The sequence below is a fragment of the Homo sapiens genome, chromosome 22 (assembly GCF_000001405.40).
Source record: "Homo sapiens chromosome 22, GRCh38.p14 Primary Assembly".
Lineage (NCBI taxonomy): Eukaryota > Metazoa > Chordata > Mammalia > Primates > Hominidae > Homo > Homo sapiens.
This window is the reverse complement of record NC_000022.11, coordinates 19810743-19830986: the sequence shown is the minus strand read 5'-3', so window position 1 is coordinate 19830986 and position 20244 is coordinate 19810743. Positions and strand designations below refer to the sequence as shown.

Genomic DNA, 20244 nt, shown 5'->3' with positions numbered 1-20244 from the left:
TTTATGCTCGTGTATTTCACTGTAAGATATGGATCTGATTTTATATGGTTAACCATTTTTGTTCCAGTGATGTGAGATACCACCTCTTTTATGTATTAAACTTCCACACGTACTTGGGTTTATTTCTAGGCTTTCTATTTCACTGATCCATCTGTCTATACAGGAGTACTATACTTTTAATCCTAAAGACTTGAGTACCTGTTAGTATCTGATAGGGCTAGCTCCTTTGCAGCTAATTTTTCCCCATGTTTTTCTGTGCATGCTACATTTTTGTTTATCCAAGTGAGTGTTAATATCAACTTCTCTAACTCCATAAAGAAGCTTGCTGGTGTTTCCGTTGGGGTTGTGTTAAATTTATAAATTAATTTGGGGAGAAGAGACATCTTTATGTTGATGTTGAATTGTCTTAACCAAGAACAAAGGATCCTTTTTCCTTTGTTCAAATCTACTTTTGTGTCTTCCAAGAGAATTTTAACATTTTCTTCATGTAGGTTTTTCATATTTATTTATTAAAGTTATTCTTAAGTATTTTATCTTCTTTGGTATAAATGGAATTTTCTCTAACTGGTTATTATTTTTGTACAAGTAATATGTGCTCTTTATTGTTATTGTATACAAATAACATAGAGACTATTGAATTCTCTATGTTAGTTTTACATCCTGCTACCAGTTGAAGTTTTTTTTTTATTATTTGAATCTGTTTTATCATTGATTTTCTATGGCTTTCCATGTATACCATCGTATAATCTGGAATATGGTTTTGTTTTCTTTTTCTAGAGATGGGGTCTTGCTGTGTTGCCGAGGCTGGAGTGCAATGGCTAGTCACAGGTGTGATCATAGTACACTGTAGCCTCAAACTCCTGAGCTCAAGCAATCCTCCTGCCTCAGCCTCCCAAGTAGCTGGGACTACAGGCGTGTACCACTATACTCAACAGGAAGATAGTTTAATGTCTTCTTTTCCAATTATAAACCTCTACTTAATTTTTCTTGACTAATTGCCTTGGCTTATACTGCCACTACAATGTCGAATGGTAGTAGAGATAGCAGGCATTCTGATCTTAGTGGGAATGTCCCCAATATTTCTTCATAAAATAATATGTTGGATTTAGGACCAAGGGGGATGTATATATATATATATATTTAACCTCTAAGAAATGCATCAATGTCTGTTTGTTTACGTATTTTAATAAAAAATGGGCATTGAATATTGTCAAAGGCTTTTTCAGCATCTGTGGAGATAATTACATGCTTTTTCTCATTATATCTATTAATACAGTATATGGCTTTCATAAATTCCCTATTTGAACCAACCTTGCATTTCTAGGATAAATTCCACTTGATCACTGTATATTAATGTGATATTGGGTCTTGTTTACTAATATTTTACTTACTATTTTTGTGTGATAGTCATAACTGGTATTGGTCTATACTTTTCTTCTGATCAGAGCTTTAAATATATCTCATAAATTGGTACGTAGTATTTTTCATTTTAAAAAAATTTTTGTGGTTTCAGTTATCCCATTTCACCTAAAAGTTGTTTTTAAATTTCTATTTGATAAGACCTTTTTGTTTTTTATTTTATTAATTTCTAATTTAATTGCACTGTGGTCATGGAATTTTATTTATAAATATTTCTTCTTTATGAAACTTACTGATATTTCTTTGTGACCCAATATACAGTCAATTTTTATACATGTCCCATGTACCCTTGAGAAGAAGAGGTAGGCTCTGTTATGAGAGTGTAAAGTTCCATTATAGATCTGTAGTATCTACCTTGTTGGTTGTATTTTTTGGATCTTCTATCTGCCTACTTATTGTCCACGTGATCTGACTTGTACTAAGAGTAGTATGTTATGGCCGGGCACGGTGGCTCATGCCTGTAATCCCAGCACTTTGGGAGGCCAAGATGGGCAGATCACCTGAGGTCAGGAGTTCAAGACCAGCCTGGCCAATGGGGTGAAACCCCATCTCTATTAAAAATACAGAAATTAGCCGGGCACTGTGGCGTGTGCCTGTAGTCCCAGCTACTCGGGAGGCTGAGGCACAAGAACTGCTTGAACCCCAGAGGCAGATGTTGCAGTGAGCCGAAACCACGTCACTGCACTCCAGCCTGGGTGACAGAGCAAGATTCTGTCTCAAAAAAAAAAAAAAGAAAAAGAGTAGTATGTCATATTCTCCAATCACTAGTAGGCTTCTTTCTGTGACTCTGCATCTCCTGTCGTTTCTGCTCTATAGAGGTGGTATCTCTGTTATATAGTGCATAGATATTAAAAACTGTTACATAGATTAATTATATATTATATATAGATATTAAAAACTGTTATATATATAGTTTTTTTTTTAGATAGGGTCTCACTCTGTCACCCAGGCTTTAATGCAGTGGTGTGATCATGGCTCACTGCAGCCTCAAACTCCTGGGCTCAAGCAGTTCTCCTTCTTCAGCATCCCAAATAGCTGGGACTATACAACTGTGCCCAGCGAATTTTTATTTGTTTTGAGAGATGGAATCTGACTATGTTGCTCAGGCTGGTCTCAAACTCCTGGCCTCAAGTAATCCTTCCACCTCAGCCTCCCAAAGTGTTGGGACTACAGGTGTGAGCCCACCACACCTGGCAATAAACTGTTATATTTTGTAAACTGCAATGAAGAATTAAAAACTATCTGTCTTTGTCAAGTCTAATGCTTTTTGGCTGGAATTCAACTTTGTCTGCTATTAGTATTTCAACCCCTACTTTCTTATTGTTTCTGTTTGCCCCATATACCTTTTTGCCCATCTCTAATTTTAGCGTTTTGGAATTACTTTGTGTTACACTCTTTTTCTTATTGAGTGACATATTCTGAGTCAAGGAGTAAATTCTGAGAATGAATCCTTGAACAGATACGTGTTGTGAACATTTTATTTCTGTCTGTGTCTTCAGTTTTGACTCCCTTCATGTCTCTTGATGAGAATTATGACTTTGAGCTTCATCCATGTAAGACTGGAGTTGATTCATTTTCAGTTCTGTGGAGTATTCTATCGTACGAATTTACCCAATGTGTTCCTTTCTGCAGTTGCTAGCCATTTGGGTTGTTTTTGGTTTTTGTTATTATACCCAATACTACTAGGAACATTCTTGTGTGAGTTTCTTTGTACACACTTGTGAGAATTTCTTCAGGGTGTTTATCTAAGAGTAGGGTTGCCGAGTCATACGGTGTGCAAGATGGAGTCAGATTGTTTTCCAAAGTGGTCGTTTCCGTGTGCGCTCCTTCTAGCATGGTAGAAGGTTCCAGTTGTCCTCTGTCTTCATCAACATTTGACAGACTGTTTAATTTTTTGCTAATCTGCTGAGAGTGTAATTATATCACATTGTAGTTTTGACAGGCATTCCCAGGATTATTAATTAGGTTAAACATCTTTGCATATATTTATTGGACATTTACGTTGCTTGTGAAATATCTGTCCAAGCCTTTTGCTTATTTTTCTTTCGGTGTTTGCTTTTGTATTCTGTTGACCTCTGTGTTCTTTAGATATTCTGGATACGAGTCCAGTGTGGACTTGTCTTTCTCCACCCCTCTGGCATGCTTTTATGGTTTTAAATCTACAGAAAAGCTGCAAGTGTAGTAAAATAAATACCTGTACACCTTCACCTGTGGTCACCAGTTGTTAGCATTTTGCCACATTTGTACTACTTCTCTGCCTATATATTCATACATAGATAGGTAGAGATTAAGAGAGAATTTTTTTTGAAACATTTGAAAGCAGATTGTAGACATTATAGCATTTCACCCCTAAATACTTTCGGATGTATCTCGTAGGAATAAAGACATTCTTCTACATAAAATACTGTTATCCTTCCAAGGAAATTAATAACACCCCATTATCTGTAGTCCATATTCAGATTACCCACAAAGATCCCCCAGATGTCCCTTATAGCCCCCTTTTTTTTGATCCAGGATCTGATCTAAGAGCCAGGATCTAAGGTTTATATGTCATGTTTGGTCATCATGCCCCTTTGGTCTCTTAATGTGGAAGTTACCCAGCGTTTTCCTTTGGTTGTTTCTCTTGATGCTGACCTTTTTGATGAGTCCAAGCTAGTAGTCTTGCCCAGTGTCTCGTAACCTGGATGTGTCTGATTGTTTCCTTTATGGCTGGATTGAGGTTGAGCATTGTTGGCAGGGACACACAAGGTTGGTGCCATGTCTGTGGCATCACATCAGGAGATAAGCAATGCCAGTTTGTTCATTATTGGCAGTGCTAGCTTTTCTCAGTGGTGAAAGTGGTGACAGCCAGATGTCTCCATTGAAGATACACATTTTCCTTTTGTGATCAGTAAACAGTTTGGAGAGTAATACCTTGGCGCAACACACATCTCCTGTTTCCCAACCACCTCTCACCAAGTTGGATCCTTTTTTGGATCTGTGTGATGATGTTTCATCTCCCTTGCTCTCTACTTGTAGTTGCAGTTCCCTCTCTGTTTCTTTAAGAGCGTTAAGCACCCTTGCCTTATATACCCGAGTGCTCTGCTCTGTGGGTCTAGTTCTGTTTTTTGTTGCCTCTCATGACTCTCGATTACAGTGCCTTGTTGACTTTTGTGATTTTTGACTACAACCTTGCACTTCTTAGGACTTATTCTAAAGTGAATTCCTTGAGGCCTGGGTTGCAGGTGGGTTCCTTCTGAGAAGACAGACTGAAGTGTGGGGGATCTCTCAAGGTGGTGTGAGTTAGGGCTGAAACCTGAGGACTGGTGTTTTTCTGGCATCCGTGGGTGTAGGTTTAGTGCTGGCTCAGCCTAACACTGAGCATCTAGCTACTGGGGTTCTCCTAGGAGGTTAGCCACCATAGGATGGCCCTAAGCTTTGCCTTTTGTCACCCCAGAGGCCATCAGAGCTGGAAATCCAGGTCACTAGTGCAGCAAATGCCCTCAAGGCAGGCTTGGCAGGTCTCCCGAGGCTGCACTTTTACTTAGTGTTTGGCCTCTGGCAGCTCAGACTTTTTTTTGTCAACTTAGTGATGCGTTTAATATTTTGATTTTGATTTTGATTTTTTTCAGAGACAGGGTCTTGTTCTGCTGTCCAGGCTGGAGTGCCGTGGTGTGATTGTGGCTCACTGTAGCCTGGAACTCTTGGGCTCAAATGATTCTCCCACCTCAGCCTCCTGAGTAGCTGGACTTACAGGCACCCACCACCATGCCCAGCTAATTTATTTATTTTTTTTGTAGAGATGGGGGTCTGACTATGTTGCCCTGGCTGGTCTTGAACTTCTGGACTCCAGCAATCCTCCTGCCTTGGCCTCCCAAAGTGCAGGGATTACAGGCCTGAGCCACTGTGCCTGGCTGTGTTTAAAAAAATTTTTTAAAGATAGTTATTTATTTTATTTAATTTATTTGAGATGCGGTCTTGCTCTGTCCCCCAGGCTGGAGTGCAGTGGCGCGATCATGGCTCACTGCAGCCTTGACCTCCTGGGCTCAAGCTATCCTCCCACCTCAGCCTCCTGAGTAGCTGGGACCACAGGCATACACCACCACACCTGGCTAATTTATTTTTATTTTTTGTAAAGGCAAGGTCTCCCTATGTTGCCCAGGCTGGTCTTGAACTCCTGGGCTCAAGCAATCCTCCCACCTCGGCCTCCCAAAGTGCTGAGATTATAGGCATGAGCCACCATGCCTGGCCTTCTAAGAAACTTTTATCAACATCTTTAGTTGTTTTTTGGGAGAGGGCCACCCAGGGTGTCCGTCCTGGTGTAAAGGGGTGCTGACCTAGTCTTCAGTCTTGCTGATTATGGGCTGGAGCTTCCTCGGGGGATGCTGGAGCTAGTTCCATGCCCTTGTGTGAGATATGCAGTGGGGCAGAGGGTCCTGTTTGAGGCACTCCCAGCGGCCTGTGCGGCCTGTCCTTGTGCTGTCACATGCCCAATGGGACAGGGAGGACCTGGTGGGCTGGGGTGGGCAGGGGTGGTGCCAGTGGCCTCTCTGGGTGGTGGCTCCCCACGTTGGCTCACTTCGTGGTACTCTTTGCTGATTTCCACAAAAGGGCTAGGGGACTGAGCACAGGGCTGTGCAGCCCGAGGGCAGGGCGGGGGCCCAGGCTGAGCTGAGGCCTGTCTGGCATGAACCCCCAGGAGCCCAAGAATGTCTTGGGTAGGGACCTGTGGTGTTTGGGCTCCAGCCACTGCCGCAGCCCTGCTTCATCTGTAGGGAGGAAGGCCCTGCAGGTGTGGGTGGGTTTGCGCCAGCAGGACATTTGCAGGCCTGCCCCTGCCTCCCTTGAGTGGGGTGTCTGTGGACCTCTCTGCCAGTTGCACCTACCCGCTGGTCCCCACACCCAGAGGAGCGCTCTGGACCCCTCTTGGGAGAGCCCTGGGGCCTGCCGAGCTGCCTCCGCGGTGGTGCATTGCAGGCAGATGCTGTTGTCGTCCATTTGTTCCCTGGGGCTTTCAGGGGTGTTTGTGGCTTCTCTGGAAGGGCTGTTAGAGTTGCACAAATTGTGTCAGACTGCCTTTCATTTTTCAAAGAATGTGGCTCACTTTGACACCTGGAAGAGCAGGCAGAAGCCAAAGTTGTGCTCTGTGGATTAAGTTTCCTGTTCCTTTGCCTCCGGGAGGACAGGGCCGGGGCTGGGCCGGGGCCACCGCAAGGACAGCTGGGCGCACACGGGCCTTGCGCAAGGGCGGCCTTTGCTCCACAGCCTGGGGCCAGGCAAGATAGGGGAATGTGATGATTCTCAATTAGATTAATAAAGAATAATTAGATGTCATAAATCAAGCAATCCTAGGATATTGTCATGGGAAAAATATGTAGCTAGAATTAATTAGTTTTCAAATAAAGCATTTATTTTAATTACTTGAAATGATGGAGCCCTTAATTGCCGATGCATCATTTTGGCCTGTGCATTTTGGTTGTTGTAACAACGTGACGGGTTTGTTCCCTGCAGTTCTGGGGAAACAATAGAGGAGAACTTGATTTCATCACCTGAGAATGAGCCTTCTGCTGGTGAGGTTCTGGAAACTCCCGCCAGGCCCCAGGCAGGTGGCATGTGGGGGCCGGGCTTCGGCTGGCACCGCCCAAGGCCGCCGTGCTGTCTGTGTGTGTGCTTCTCTGTGCTGTGTGTGCACATACGTGAGTGCCTGTGCCTGAGTGTCTGAGTCTGCGTGTGTGTATGTGTATGTAGGTATGAGTGTGTGCCTGTGTGTGTGCATGTGTGTGTGTGCACATATGGGTGTGTGAACATGTATGTGTAGGCATGTGTCCTATGTGTGGGTTTTGCATGTGTCTGTGTGCACCATGTGCATGTGTGTGTATGTGTGAGCATAGCGTGTGTCTAATGTGTGTTCGTGCCTGGACTGCACAGGGGAGCCTGTGTAGAGGTGACCTGTCAGGCTCTGCTTCCTGGACTGGAGTCATGGGAGGGACCCTCCATCCTGGACTCGGTGCTTTCCTGCTAGGTGGAGGTGCTTTTGCCGGGTCTGCATTCTTTGGCTCCTCTTGGAGCTGGGCCCTGCCTTCCTGTCCCCCTGGCTAGCTTGCCTTTCTTACCTGGCAGGCATAGCACAAACAGGCAGTGGCTTCTGAGAACTGTCCTCCAAGCCAGCCCGCTGAGGGCAGCTGTTCCAGCCCCCGGCCTGGCTGCGTCTTCAGGAGTCTTGGAGTCTTCCCCATCACAGGCTGGAGCAGGGGCCGTGGGTCTTGGGAGCAGTGTGGGGTCTGGTCCCTCTGCCTCCCCTGGAAGCCACCCTTAAGTTTGGGCATGATCAGTTGGCTTTCAGCCAAAGGTGAGAGAGGACGAAACCTCTCTCATCCCCCTCAAAAAAGAAAAGGAAAAATGGGACTTGGCAGTTAGTAAAGGATATCCCAGGGAACTCCGCATTGTCTTCGGAACCCCTTGAGAGAGGCAGGGTTGGGAGGTAGAGTGGCTGCCCGAGGTCTCTCGCCAGGCAGGGTGGACCTGCGCCCTGGAGTCACTGCCCGGCCCCTCCCAGGCCTCCTGCCCTCCCCCATGCCGCCCGCTTGGGCACTGGCTGCTGTCCACCCTCCACTCTGCAGGACACCTTGGCAGGGGCATTTCTCAGGTGTTTTGAACCTTTGCCCCAGCTCTGAATAGAGTAAGGAGAGGGCTGGCGTGTATTCAGAAGGGGAGAGGCAGGGCTTGGCGGTGGCAGTGCTGCTGAAGGGGCACCCTGGACAGCTGCCTCCAGACATCCACAGCACTCCTGCCTCTGAACCTGCACCCCCATCCGCCTACCACCCAGCCCCTTCTGAAGAGTCCTTCCCATCTCCCCTGCCCTGGTCCTTTACTGGCCCCAGTCCCTCTGCTGGCTGTGGCTGCCGTGGGCCATCCTCCCTGCCTTGTGTGCAGGCTGCAGGTGGCTGGGCCGGGGCCTGCCCCACTGTCCCAGAGCCCAGTGGGAAAGGCCCCCTGTGACAGGCTGCCCCAGCCACCCAGTGGTCTGCTCCTGGCCTTTCCCTCTGAGCCCTTAGCCCAGCTCAGGGTCTGCAGGCAGACAGACATGGAGCTGGTCGCTTCTGGCTCCAGGGCCACCCCACAGAGCAGCCAGCTGTGGGGCTGAGGTGGAGTGCGAGGCCCTGTGGGTCTGAGTGGTTGGAAGGGCTCGGCACGGACCCGGGAAGCCTCTCTGGGTGGGTGGTGGCCCGGCAGTCTTCCCCCACAGGCCCAGTGGTCTGGGGAACAGCTGCTCATCTGTGACCGCAGCTCTCCTAAGGAGCCGCACGGCGACTCTGCCCCAGCCACTCTGCCCTTCAGTGGTGCCATGAGGCCCTAGAGTACTTCAGGCCTCAGCGCCAGGGGCCTGGTGCAGCTCAGTGACTATTCTCTGCCTCGGTTTCCCCAAGAGTGAAAAGGGTGCTGCCGCCTTATAGGGTGGTGATAGCGGTTAGAAATTGTGGCGGGGCAGGCCTGGGGCCCAGCAGATGTGAGAGGAAGGCTCCTCCTAGCAGCCCCCCGGGACCCTGTGTGCCTCTTTTCCCCTGATCCCTGAGCTGGCCATGGGCAGAGGTGGCAGCAGGGAGGAGAGAAGAAGGGAGACTGGATTTGCCAGCAGGGAGGGAGGGTGGCTCCCAAGAGAGACACTGGAGTGAGCCCTGGACAGAGGGCGGGACTCAGCCAAGCCCAGTGGCAGGACCGGCAGTCCCGGCATGCAGATGGCCAGAGTGGGAAAGCACTGGTGTGGCCCCTGGGATCTGGGGAGCCAGAGGGCACAGCCAGTGGTGGACAGGAAGCCCTGGAGGCCAGAGTGGCCGAGGAAGTGTTGGATGCCGCTGTGCCCACTCAGGGATGGCTCAGGTGGGGCCCAAGCGGGTGCACCAGTCAGGTGCAGAGGCCAACAGGCACGGTGCGAGGAGGGCTGGCATCCATGGGGCTCCCAGTTCCCCCAGCAGTGGGGGAAGGGTGAGCTCTGTGCTCTCTGCTGGGCTCACCGCCGTGCAGGGAACTGGTGCCTCTGTAGCCACAGGCCGTTCATCAGTGTCTGGGGAGCAGTGGCACCTCTCTCCCAGGAGGGGCACAGGGCCAGAGACAATGAGCAGGGGCAACATCTCAAGCACCCCTGTGCCTGAGCAGCCTTCCTAGAGGGTGAGAATAGGGACGCAGTCACTCACACGCCCTCCCTTGGTGCCCAGGTAACTGCATCCTGCCCAGCATGACGGCCCCCTGCCCGCCGCCACCTCCAGACCCCCAGTTTGTCCTCCGAGGCACCCAGTCACCGGTGCATGCGCTGCACTTCTGCGAAGGAGCCCAGGCTCAGGGGCGCCCGCTCCTCTTCTCAGGGTGAGTAGCTGTGGCCCCAGCCCCAGGCCACCCAGGGCCAAGTCAGGAGGTCGTGAGCTAGCAAGGAGCCCAGCGCTTGTTTGAGGGTGCTGGCCAAGGGGCATGGACTGCTCGCCACCCAGGCTTGCTGAGCTTTCAGCACCCACCAGCAGACACACTGTCCCTTGGGGGAGGCAGGGACACACACACACACTCTTTGTTACAGACGCAGGAGCAGGCACGACCACCCAGCGTGCATTACTGTGGCATGGCTCCCCCTACCTCCAGAGAAGCAGATCTGCCTGAGTTACCCCTAGAGGCTCCTGAGGGTCCCCCGGTCCCCTCTCTGGAAGAGGAGCAAGGAGTGCTTTGCCAGTTTGGCCCTTAGTTCATATTTAGAGCTGTTGGCTTTTCAGCTCAACCAGCCTAGATGCCCGCATCCCACAATGTGGCCTCCAGGCTGGCCCCAGAGCATTCAGCACACCCTTCTGCCCCCTGACACCCTGCTCGGCTTGTCTGAAACAGGTCTCAGAGTGGCCTGGTACACATCTGGAGCCTGCAGACGCGGAGAGCGGTTACCACCCTGGATGGCCACGGCGGCCAGTGTGTGACCTGGCTGCAGACGCTGCCCCAGGGGCGCCAGCTCCTCAGGTGGGTCTCCAAGGTGCAGGAGCCAGGTATGGCCTTCGGGGGAGTCAGGAACTCTCTGATGGAGGCTCTGGTGTCCCCCACTGAGGGGCAGAATGGGGTGGGGGAACCAGAAGGGGCCAGCAAAGGGTCCGCAGCAAGGGCAGGGTGTGCAGGTCCAGCCCCTTGTCACAGGGAGGCAGGCAGGTCTGCCTCTGCATCTCCACCATCTCCACTGGACCCTTCATGCTCCAAGCTGGAGCCAGGAGGTGCCAGGTGAGGAGGCCAGAGCTCCAGGGCTGGTGACATCTGAGGTGAGCCCAGGCGCAAGTTGGTGGGAGGGCCTTCACAAGGGCACTGGGTCGTGGCTTGGGAAACTGGGCAGGGGTGAGGGCATTTGCTGAGAGGAGGGGAATGGGATGAAGTACAGGCTCAGGGATGCAGGCAGTGGTCCCAAGGAGGGCCTCCCTGCCCACTGCCCATCCTGCCTGGGCCGTGTGCCATGAGCATGGCAGGTCACACACGGTGCCGGTGGAGGCCCTAGGAGCTGGGTGTTCCGGCAGCTGAGCCCTGGCCGTGTGTGTCCCTTCACTAGGTTATGACAATGCACCTGACTCTTCCCAAGAGGACCCAGCCCCTGATGTTGTGCCACATACGGCTATGTGGCTGGCAAGATGGTGGCTGAGTGGCCAGGGGCGGGGCGCAGGGCTTGGGTGTATAGTGCTGTCCCACAGCAGTGTGCTTCTGCGTTTCTGAAGTGGGCGTGGTAGTGAGGGCCATCTCCCCACCTGGTCCCCCCTGCAGTGTCTCCTGTGGTTTCTACCCCTGCAGTCTCCTCCCTCAGGGCCCCGAGCTCACGTGTGTGTTCTGTACCCTACGCATCACTTGGGGATTACTTGTCCAGACTGTACCCCAGCAGGAAGGGTCCACAGAGGTGGCCTGTCCCCATTGGTATTCAGACCCCACTGTTCTAGCCTGTGCTTAGCACAAGGGCAGGTTTCTGGGTGCCCCCATGGTTCATGAGGCCTTAGCCCATCCCGAGACAGTGTGACCCTACCCTCCGTGACTGCTGTGCTGTCTGGCCAGGTGCCTGCTGGGAAGAGCCTAGTGAACGTATGGCGATGGCTGTGTCCCCATTGCAGTGTCAGCCTGTGCCTTCAGCAGAGCTCGCCCTGGCCAGGGGTCCGCATTGAGCCCAGGCCCCTCCTCAGATGAGCTTCTGCCTCTATCCCATGGGCCCAGGTCCCAGTCACCACAGCCCCTCTACAACTTGGCCTCCTGTGGCTGTCGCACCATCCTCCTGCATGGGTGGCAGAGCCTCATCCTGAGGTTACCCAGCTCACAGGGCCCTGCTTCACACGCTGGTGCAGCTGCTGGGTAAGCAGGAGGTGGCGGAGGAATAAGAGGGCCTGGCAGTCCTGGTGGGGGAGACCCCACGTGCTGCGGCCCTGGAGGGCCTGCCTCTGAGTGTGGTGAAGGACAGTGGGGCTGGGTGCTGGGCAGCTGGCAGCAGAGCAGGGAGGGGCAGCCCCCGAGGGTTAGCCCAGGGCTGGGTTCTGACATCGCCCCCGTGGTCTTGTGGAGGTGATGGGGCTGAGACACCAGGCCGGAGGTAGGCCAGGAAGCAGCAGACAGGGGCAGGTGCGTGAGGGGCTTCTCTGTTTCCCATGGGGAGTGGGAGGGACAGGGCATGGTGGGACAGGGAAGGCCTGCAGGGGGCTGACAACAAGTCCTCCTTTGGGCTGCCTGGATGCTGGAGCAGGCTATTGTCCTTGATCAGAGTGACATCTGCCCCTGTGTGGGGATCGCTGCCACCAGCCCAGGAATCCTGAGCACGGGCCTGCTGCTGTCCTGGGATTTGCCTTGCGTCATATTCAGGGAACTCCGTGCCATCACCATCACAGCCCAGAACTCCAGAAGGACAGGCCTGTTCTCCTGCTCTGGACTCGGTGCCTGGTTCATGGCACTGTGGAGTATAGTCCCTGGAGAATGAGGCCTGTCTGGCCCCCACCAGTCTGCAAAACATGTCTGTGCTAGACTCACGCGGTGCCTACCACCTGGGAGATGGCTGCAGGTGACGAAGGCACCAGGGTTGTCCTGAAGAGCAGAGGCCCTGAGCCTGTGTGCTTGCAGAGCCCCGTGTGGTCATGCCTGCATCCTGGCCAAGCCGACCCAGATCCCTCACCACTGGTGCAGGGGGCCTCAGAGTGGGTTTGGTCTTTGATTGTCAGAGTAGACTTCATTTCTAGAACCCCACCAGGCCATGTGCATCAGGAGCTGCTGTTTGTAAGTGTCCTCCTGAGTTTTCAGCCACAATGTAGCCCTTGGTGGTCCCTTGCGTAGGTGCCTTGTGGTATCAGGCTGTCCTGCAGACAGGAGCTGTGCCAGGCCTGGTGGGCGGTCTGGGAGCTGACGTTCGAGGGCACCTCCCCTTCCTGCTGGGATGGTGCTGTAGTGGCTGCTTCCCAGGCAGAGCCAGCCACGGGTCAGGGGGTCTGTGGACAGAAACTGCAGGTGTGGAGTGCCAGGTGCGTCTGCACTGTACTAGAGCCTGTGGGCCGCCACCCGGCCTGTGCTCAGCTGTGTTTGGAAGCCAAGTCTCTCCAAGTGGCCCTTGAAGGAAGTGATGGCTTTCATGTTGATGGGAGGTGGGAGGACGCCCTCAGCCTCCCGCATGCCAAGGACACACCTGTGCCTTCGACAGCCACCTCGGCAGGGTGTTTTTTAATCTTTTTTCTTGTGAAGTATAATGTACTCACAGAAGAGTGCAAGACAAGTGTTCAGAGCATTGTATTACGGCTGAGTGAGCACCTGAGCAACCACCTTCCAGTCAAGAAGTAGAGCGCAGGGCCCCCGAGCCTCTGAATCCCTGAGCTGCTGCCACCTGCTCTCCCTGGAGATAGCCCCTCATGCCCCAGGAGGTAGCCCCTCACGCCTCATTTTTGCTATATTTATGAATGTATGTCTCTGAAAAGCATAGACTATTTTGTCTGCTTTTTTCTTTGGAAGCGTGGAGACATAAGGAGCAGCATCTGTGTGTGACTTCTCTCACTCAACTTTATCTCCGTGAGCTCCGTGTGTTGCATGTAGCTGCAGTCAGCTGTCGCTGTTTTCTTTTTCTTACGTTTTTTTTTCTTTTTTTGAGACAAAGTCTTGCTCTGTTGCCAGGCTGGAGTGCAGTGGCATGATCTTGGCTCACTGCAACCTCCGACTCCCTGGTTCAAGTGATTCTCCTGCCTCAGCCTCCCGAGTAGCTGGGATAAGAGGCATGTGCCGTTACGTCCAGCCAATTTTTGTATTTTTACTAGAGATGGGGTTTCACCATGTTGGCCAGGATGATCTCCTGACTTCATAATCTGCCCACCTTGGCGTCCCAAAGTGCTGGGATTACAGGCATGAGCCACTGTGCCTGGCCCCTAATGGTGTCTTTAATGAACAAAGTTACTCATTTTAATGGAGTTGATTCAAGTCTGCCAGGCTTTCCCCTTATGGAGAGTGCCTTTGTGTCTTGCCGGGAGTTCCTGCACCGAGGTCCGAGAGACCTCTCTCCATGTCTCCCAGGAACTTTACTGTTGTCCCTTGTAGATCCATGGTTCAGCTGGAATTCACTACGGTGTGCAGTGAAGGCCCTGGGTTTCCATGTGGGTACCCAGCGGTCCCGCCTTCCCCCACCTCAGTGCCCCTTGGATGGGGTGGGAAGGGGGTGCCAGGCAGTCAAAGAAGCAGGGTTGGGGGGGTGGTGTGGCAGCGGCAGCCTGGGAGGCCAGGAGGTTGGTGAGGGCAGGTGGCAGGCTCGCTTGTTGGGCATGTCAGTGAACATCTCCAGGATAACAGAGGCCAGGGTTGTCCCTGCCCAGAGAGGAGAGTTACAGACACGAGAAGGGGGAAGGTGAGAAAGAACCTGTGTGTTGTGTGTGTGAGGTTTGTGTATGTAAGTTGTGTATGTGTGAGGTGCCTGTGTGGTGTGTATGTATGTGAGGTGTGTATGAGGTGTGTGGTGTGTGTGATTGTGTGTTGTGTGCATGCATGTGAGGCATGTGTGTGTTCCCTAGCCCGTGTGCGGAGGGGCCTGGTGGCTGGGGCACACTCTGGCAGTGAGCAGGTGGACACCCAGGTCCTGGCTTCTAAATGCCTGTGTGTCCTAAGCTGAGTGAGGGTTCCCCGGGAGATGGCAGATTCTAGGTCTGGACATCTCGCAGATGGCCACGTCAGAGGATTCTGAGCCAGCCTGCAGGGACTCCCATTAGCCTGGGCCAATTTGAGCACTAAAATAAATGATCAGAATTAGGGATGATGAGCCTTTGAAAACTATGGGTCCTGACCAGGCGATCAGGGTTGACACCCCTGATGGTGGGCAGGTCACATCGTGTGCCTCGCAGCGTGACGACTGGTGTCATCTGAGGAATATGGGCCTGGGCCTCGTCCCCAGGGAAGGAAGGAGTGCAAAGACATGAGAGAGAGGCAGAGACAGGGAGAGAGAAGGGGCCATGCAGGGGGCAGAGGCAGCCGGGGCCCCGCGAGGCCCCACACAGGCCACGACGCCCCAGGATGGCTGTGGGCTGTCGGGGCTCACCCTTGGTCAGGATGCGGTGTTGACAAGGTGGAGTTCTTGGTGAGAGGCTCACCTGTGTGCACAGGGCTAGGAGGGGCCGGGAGAAGCAGGCCACTGCAGCAGGAGGCATACGGGGTCTTCGTGCCGTTCTCACAACTGTCCTGTGAGTTCAAAACTGATTCAAAATAAAAAGTTAAGCTGGGCACAGTGGCTCACTCCTGTAATCCCAGCACTTAGGGAGGCTGAGGTGTGCTTGGGCCCAGAGTTCGAGACCAACCTGGGAAACATGGTGAAATCTCGTCTCTACAAAAAATACAAAAATTAGCTGGGTGTGGTGGCACATGCTGGTAGTCCCAGCTACTTGGGAGGCTGAAGTGGGAGGATCATCTGAGGGAGGAGTTTGAGGCTGCAGTGAGCTGTGATCACCCCACTGCACTCCACCCTGGGCAACAAATCAAGATATTGTCTCAAAGAAAAAAAATGTTAAAGTTCCTGGAAAAACAAGTCAGTCCTCCACTCCCCGCAGGGCTTACATGGGTGCCCTCCATATGAGCGTGGTGTGCAGCCACACCTCCCCTCCCTTGGCCCTGGCCCCTCCCCATGCTGAGGACACCCCCATCTCGGCCTCCCTGCAGTGTCATGTTGAGCCTTGCCGCCTAGCAGAGCCACGGGGGCTGTGCACGTCTTTGTGCTCCAAATGTCCAGGTACATTTTGACATCAGTTTGGCAGGTTCTCCAAAACCCCAGTGGAGATTTGGACGGGACCGAGTTGCCCAGATCGGCCTTTGTGGTGCTGAATTCTCTGTGGCGTGGGCACCACAACCGCAACTGCACACCGCACACCGCACGGCCCTCCTGGCAGAGCATGGTGCATGATAATAACTGGCACCCAGACTTTGTTTCAATTTCTTCTGTTTGTCCACCAGTGACATTTCTGCTCCGGGATCCTCTGAGCTGTCACGTCTCCTTAGTCCCTTTTGGTGTGTGATCACTTATTTTCGTGACCTCAACATTTTGGTCTTTTTTTTTTTTTTGAGGCAGGGTCTTGCTTTGTCACCAAGGCTGGAGTGCAGTGGTGTGATCACAGCTCACAGCAGCCTCAATCTCCCAGGCTCAAGCAATTCTCCTACCTCAGCCCCCTGAGTAGCTGGAACTGCAGGTGCACGCCACCAAGCTTGACTAATTTAAAAAACATTTTTTGTAGAGATGGAGTCTCACTATGTTACCCAGACTGGTCTTGAACTCCTGGGCTCGAGCAGTCCTCCCACCTCCACCTTCTAGGTATGATCCACTGCACCTAGCTGACACTTTTGAAGAGTTACCGCCCAGATGTTTTGTAGAACGCCCCTCAGGTTGGGTTTGTCTGATATTTTCTCAGGTTAAGACTGGGGTGATGGGTTTTGGGAAGAAACCCACAGAAGTGAGGTTTCTCATCCTGTCATCCCGGAGTCCATGCTGAACACATGGGTCCCTGATGGCCCATGGCTTGCCGGGGACAACCCTGGTCACTGGGGCAGGAAGTGTCTGCCTGACTCCACTGTCAAGGTATAGCTTTTGCTTACTAGCTGCAGTCCACATGCAAAGAGAAAAGGAAGCTTCACCTCCTGGGGAGAGGAGAGCCAAGGATGTGTGGCCCTGTGTTAAAACCACTGCAGTAATTACTAACATCTGGGGAGTGTAGTCACAGCTACTCAGGAGGCCGAGACGGGAGGATCGTTTAAGCCGAGGAGTTTGAGACCAGCCTGGGCAACATGTTGAGACCCTTACCCTTTTGCCGCTGATTTTAGCATCCATCTGTGGACTCTGCCTGCACCTGTTATTACTGGGGTATTCTCGTTTCCCTCATCCCTCCCAGCCATGGCAGATTTCTACTTTAATTGGAATATAGGAAGCTGGAAGGAAGGTTTATTCCTTCTTTCTGATACATAATACACATTCACTCATGAGGATGGGCTCATGCAGATTTACTTCTTTCTTTGGGCTAAAATCTAATACCACCATGATTTATTTGATTTCTCAGATTGTTCCAGCTTCAGAGTCCGTGTCCTTCTGACATCCCCGATCCTTTTTTATTTTTATTTTATTTTTTGAGACAGGGTCTCCTGGAGCACAGTCACTCGATCATGGCTCACTGCAGCTTCCACCTCCCAGGCTCAAGCAATCCTCCCACCTAAGCCTCCTGAGTAGCCGGGACTACAGGCACGCACCACCATGCCTGGCCAATTTTTGTGTCTTTTGTAGAAACAGGGGTCTCACTATTTTGCCCAGGCTGATCTGGAATTCCTGGGCTCAAGCAATCCTCCTGCCTTGGCCTCCCAAAGTGCTGGGATTATAGGTGTGAGCCACCGCACCCAGTCTTTATTTTATTTTTATTTATTTATTGAGACAGAGTCTTGCTTTGTCACCCAGGCTGGAGTGCAGTGGTGCAATCTTGGCTCACCACAACCTCTGCCTCCCGGGTTCAAACAATTCTCATGCCTCAGCCTCCCAAGTAGCTGGGATTACAGGCACGTGCCACCACACCCAGCTGATTTTTTTGTGTTTTTAGTAGAGACGGGGTTTCACCATGTTGGCCAGGCTGGTCTTGAACTCCTGACCTCTCAGGTTATCCACCTGCCTCGGCCTCCCACAGTGCTGAGTACAGGCGTTGAGCCACTGCACCCAGCCTTATTTTATTTTTGAAGCATTTCTCACTGCCTGGCACTACAGGATGCTTGAGACTCCTCTTGGTTTTCCTCCACTCCACCCTAGACTCAGCCATTTCTCCAGAGCCCTGGTTCCTGTTTTTGGAGAACAGCATAAGAAACCAAGACTTGGGTTAGGTGTGGTCATTGCTTCTAGGTGTTCTCAGTGGACAGCACCGGGAGACGCCTGGGTGCCCGCTGACCTGTGCTTACACACCCGTCTGTACTCATTTCTGTCTGTGCATCTGCCCAAACACTCGTTGTTCATATTGACTTTACAATTCTAATTCGACTCCGCCAGCCCATGTCTCCCCTGTGCCTCTTCGTCACATCTCCCTGTGGTGAGACCCCGGGCCCATGAGCCACCACTGGTTTCCTCATCTGTTCTACCAGGTGTACGCGTGGAGAGGATTCAGAACTGTAACCTGCACCCCTCTGAGAAACTAATTCACCCACTGGAACAGTTTCTGCACAGTTATTTTTGTCTTTAACCTCATAAGCATCTAGTCATGAGCACTACCCCAAAATGCCTCAGGTTGGCTCCCCTCTGTTCTCCCCCTTGTCACAGTCTGCAGTCCTTCCTGGGATCCTGGCACCCTGGGAGTTTGCTGGTTTTAGGGTGCACACAGTGAAGTTTGCTCTCTGTGCTGTGCAGCACTGCAGGGTTGGTGTCCCCCACCCCGGGGCCACGCTGGACAGCCATCAGTCCACAGCCTTGATCCACTGCATGTCCTGGCCTCGGGCACTTTGGTGCTGGCTCAAGTGTCAATGCCAGAGCGGTGAGGCCCTTCCTCAGCTGAGGCTCCCGACCTGCGATGATCCAAGCTCACGGCACCCACTCTCTGGAAACATGGCCTTGCCTTCCTTCCGCTGCAGGGGCCATGGGAGCTGACACTTGTCAAGGGGAGTCTCAGGCCTGTCTCCTCTTTGTCTGGCAGTCAGGGCCGGGACCTGAAGCTGTGCCTGTGGGACCTCGCGGAGGGCAGGAGCGCTGTCGTGGACTCCGTGTGCTTGGAGAGTGTGGGCTTCTGCCGGAGCAGCATCCTGGCCGGGGGCCAGCCACGCTGGACGCTTGCCGTGCCAGGGAGGGGCAGCGACGAGGTGAGAGCCAGCCTGCCTGAGGCCCCATGTTCTCCAAACAGTTGTGCTCATCCTCTGCATTTGATTAGGAGGCGCCTGCGCCTACCCACAGGACTCCATGGAGCCGCCCACCTGCCGGCAGCTTCAGCAGCCGGGGCTGATGCACAGCCGGCTAGGCCTGGGCCTGTCCCCTTGGGGTGGCCTTGCTGATGAGCCATCCTCCCAGGGCAGTGGGAGAATCAGGAGGCGTTGGGGGAGGGGCCGGTGTTTTGGAGGCCTGGGCACCCAGCATAGTTCTGCACATGGAGGACAGTGGCGTGGGATGGCCAAGCATGGAGGCCCGAGGCCGGCAGGAACGGCAGGGGAGAGACTGCTCAGGCCCTGAGGACCTTAGACCCAAGTGGGAGGAACGCTCCGGGGCAGCTGGCAGGAGGCGGTGGGAGAGAGACCAAGTCCCTGGTGAAGTTGGAGGCCTGGGGAGGGCTGACCCAGGGCAGCAGGGAGGGTGGTATCTCAGGGCACACAACCAGGGCTGGGATGGGTGGGTGCAGGCACAAGGTGGTGATCACAGTCCTCAGGGGAAAGGTGAGCTAGGGAACACCCAGGGGGTGGGGGGATCACCAAGCAGGGAGGCCACTGTTAGGTGGAGCTTAGGCCAGAATGACCAGAGGTGTTGGTAACACAGGACTGGCCCAGCTGGACAGTGGTATCCACACCCCCAGTGGCACAGGAGGCAGGGTCTGCCAAGGGAGGGGTGCCCAAGATGTGCGGGGAGGGTGTCATAGTGGAGGAGGGTGTGGCTGGAGGCTCAGCTCTTGGGGGAGCTGAAGGGAAATCAGAGAAGAGCCTTTGAGTGGCGACTGTCCCACCTGGTGAGTGGGGCATGGTGGCCCGAGGGCGGGGCATGGGGAGGACATACCATGGAATAGGGGGCGCACACGTGGGGGCTACTGTCCATGCCCACTGCCGAGTCCTCCCCATTCGCTGTGCCCGGGCAGTCTTTGGGGCTGGTACTGGGCAGGACGGCCCCCACGCACAGTTGGGCTTGGCCCCTGCCCAAGGAGAGTCGTTCTGTCTTCAGGCAGATCCAGTACAGAAATAATGAGATAGGAACAGGCATTTATTTGTTCATTGCATTTAAATAACCAATTAGGAGCTACATACACTTTTCTTGCCAATCTGCCAAAAACCTGTTACAAGTTGTATTTATGTGAGAAAGAGGGGCGTGCTTCCTCCCCCGGGACCCAAGGTCTACAGACCCACAGGAATGCTGCAGGAGTTTGAGTCAGCTCTTCCCTTGGCCTGCTGTGCTCCATGCGCTGGTCTCGGCCACCCCCAGGCCGCCAGCCAGCACTCGGTCAGCCTGCGCTGCCCCCTGCCACACGTCCCCTGTGCTCAAGGCTGTCTAACCCTCCTCCTAGCTTTCAGCTCTCCCTGTGGGGCAGCATCTGTCTTTTCCCGGGGCAGCCTGTCTGGGGACCTCTCACATCCTGGGAAAACAGTTGCTTTCCACATTCCCACCTGGAATCTGTCAGACTGGGCGGGAGAAAGCCTCACTGGCCT

At 52.8% G+C, this 20244-nt stretch overlaps 1 protein-coding gene across 1 annotated transcript in view, besides 2 other annotated features; it reads left to right on the top strand.

The window, feature by feature from the left end:
* GNB1L (G protein subunit beta 1 like) overlaps positions 1-20244 on the top strand; it is a 71652-nt gene that overhangs the window by 23888 nt on the left and 27520 nt on the right. Inside the window, exons 3-5 of the mRNA NM_053004.3 lie at positions 9612-9759; positions 10264-10389; positions 18540-18702. Coding sequence (NP_443730.1) covers positions 9632-9759; positions 10264-10389; positions 18540-18702 — 417 coding nt within the window. The 5' untranslated portion in view covers positions 9612-9631. The remainder of the gene's footprint in view (positions 1-9611; positions 9760-10263; positions 10390-18539; positions 18703-20244) is intronic.
* Positions 7051-7565: an enhancer, noted in NCBI's record as "H3K27ac-H3K4me1 hESC enhancer chr22:19810945-19811459 (GRCh37/hg19 assembly coordinates)". NCBI's record gives its function as "activates a minimal SCP1, AML or CMV promoter by ChIP-STARR-seq in naive H9 embryonic stem cells {active_cell/tissue: H9 hESC(naive)}" and the evidence as "EXISTENCE:reporter gene assay evidence [ECO:0000049][PMID:30033119]".
* Positions 19247-19422: a silencer, noted in NCBI's record as "fragment chr22:19799088-19799263 (GRCh37/hg19 assembly coordinates)". NCBI's record gives its function as "represses an EF-1alpha promoter that drives an FKBP-Casp9 reporter gene in an ReSE screen in HepG2 liver carcinoma cells {active_cell/tissue: HepG2}" and the evidence as "EXISTENCE:reporter gene assay evidence [ECO:0000049][PMID:32094911]".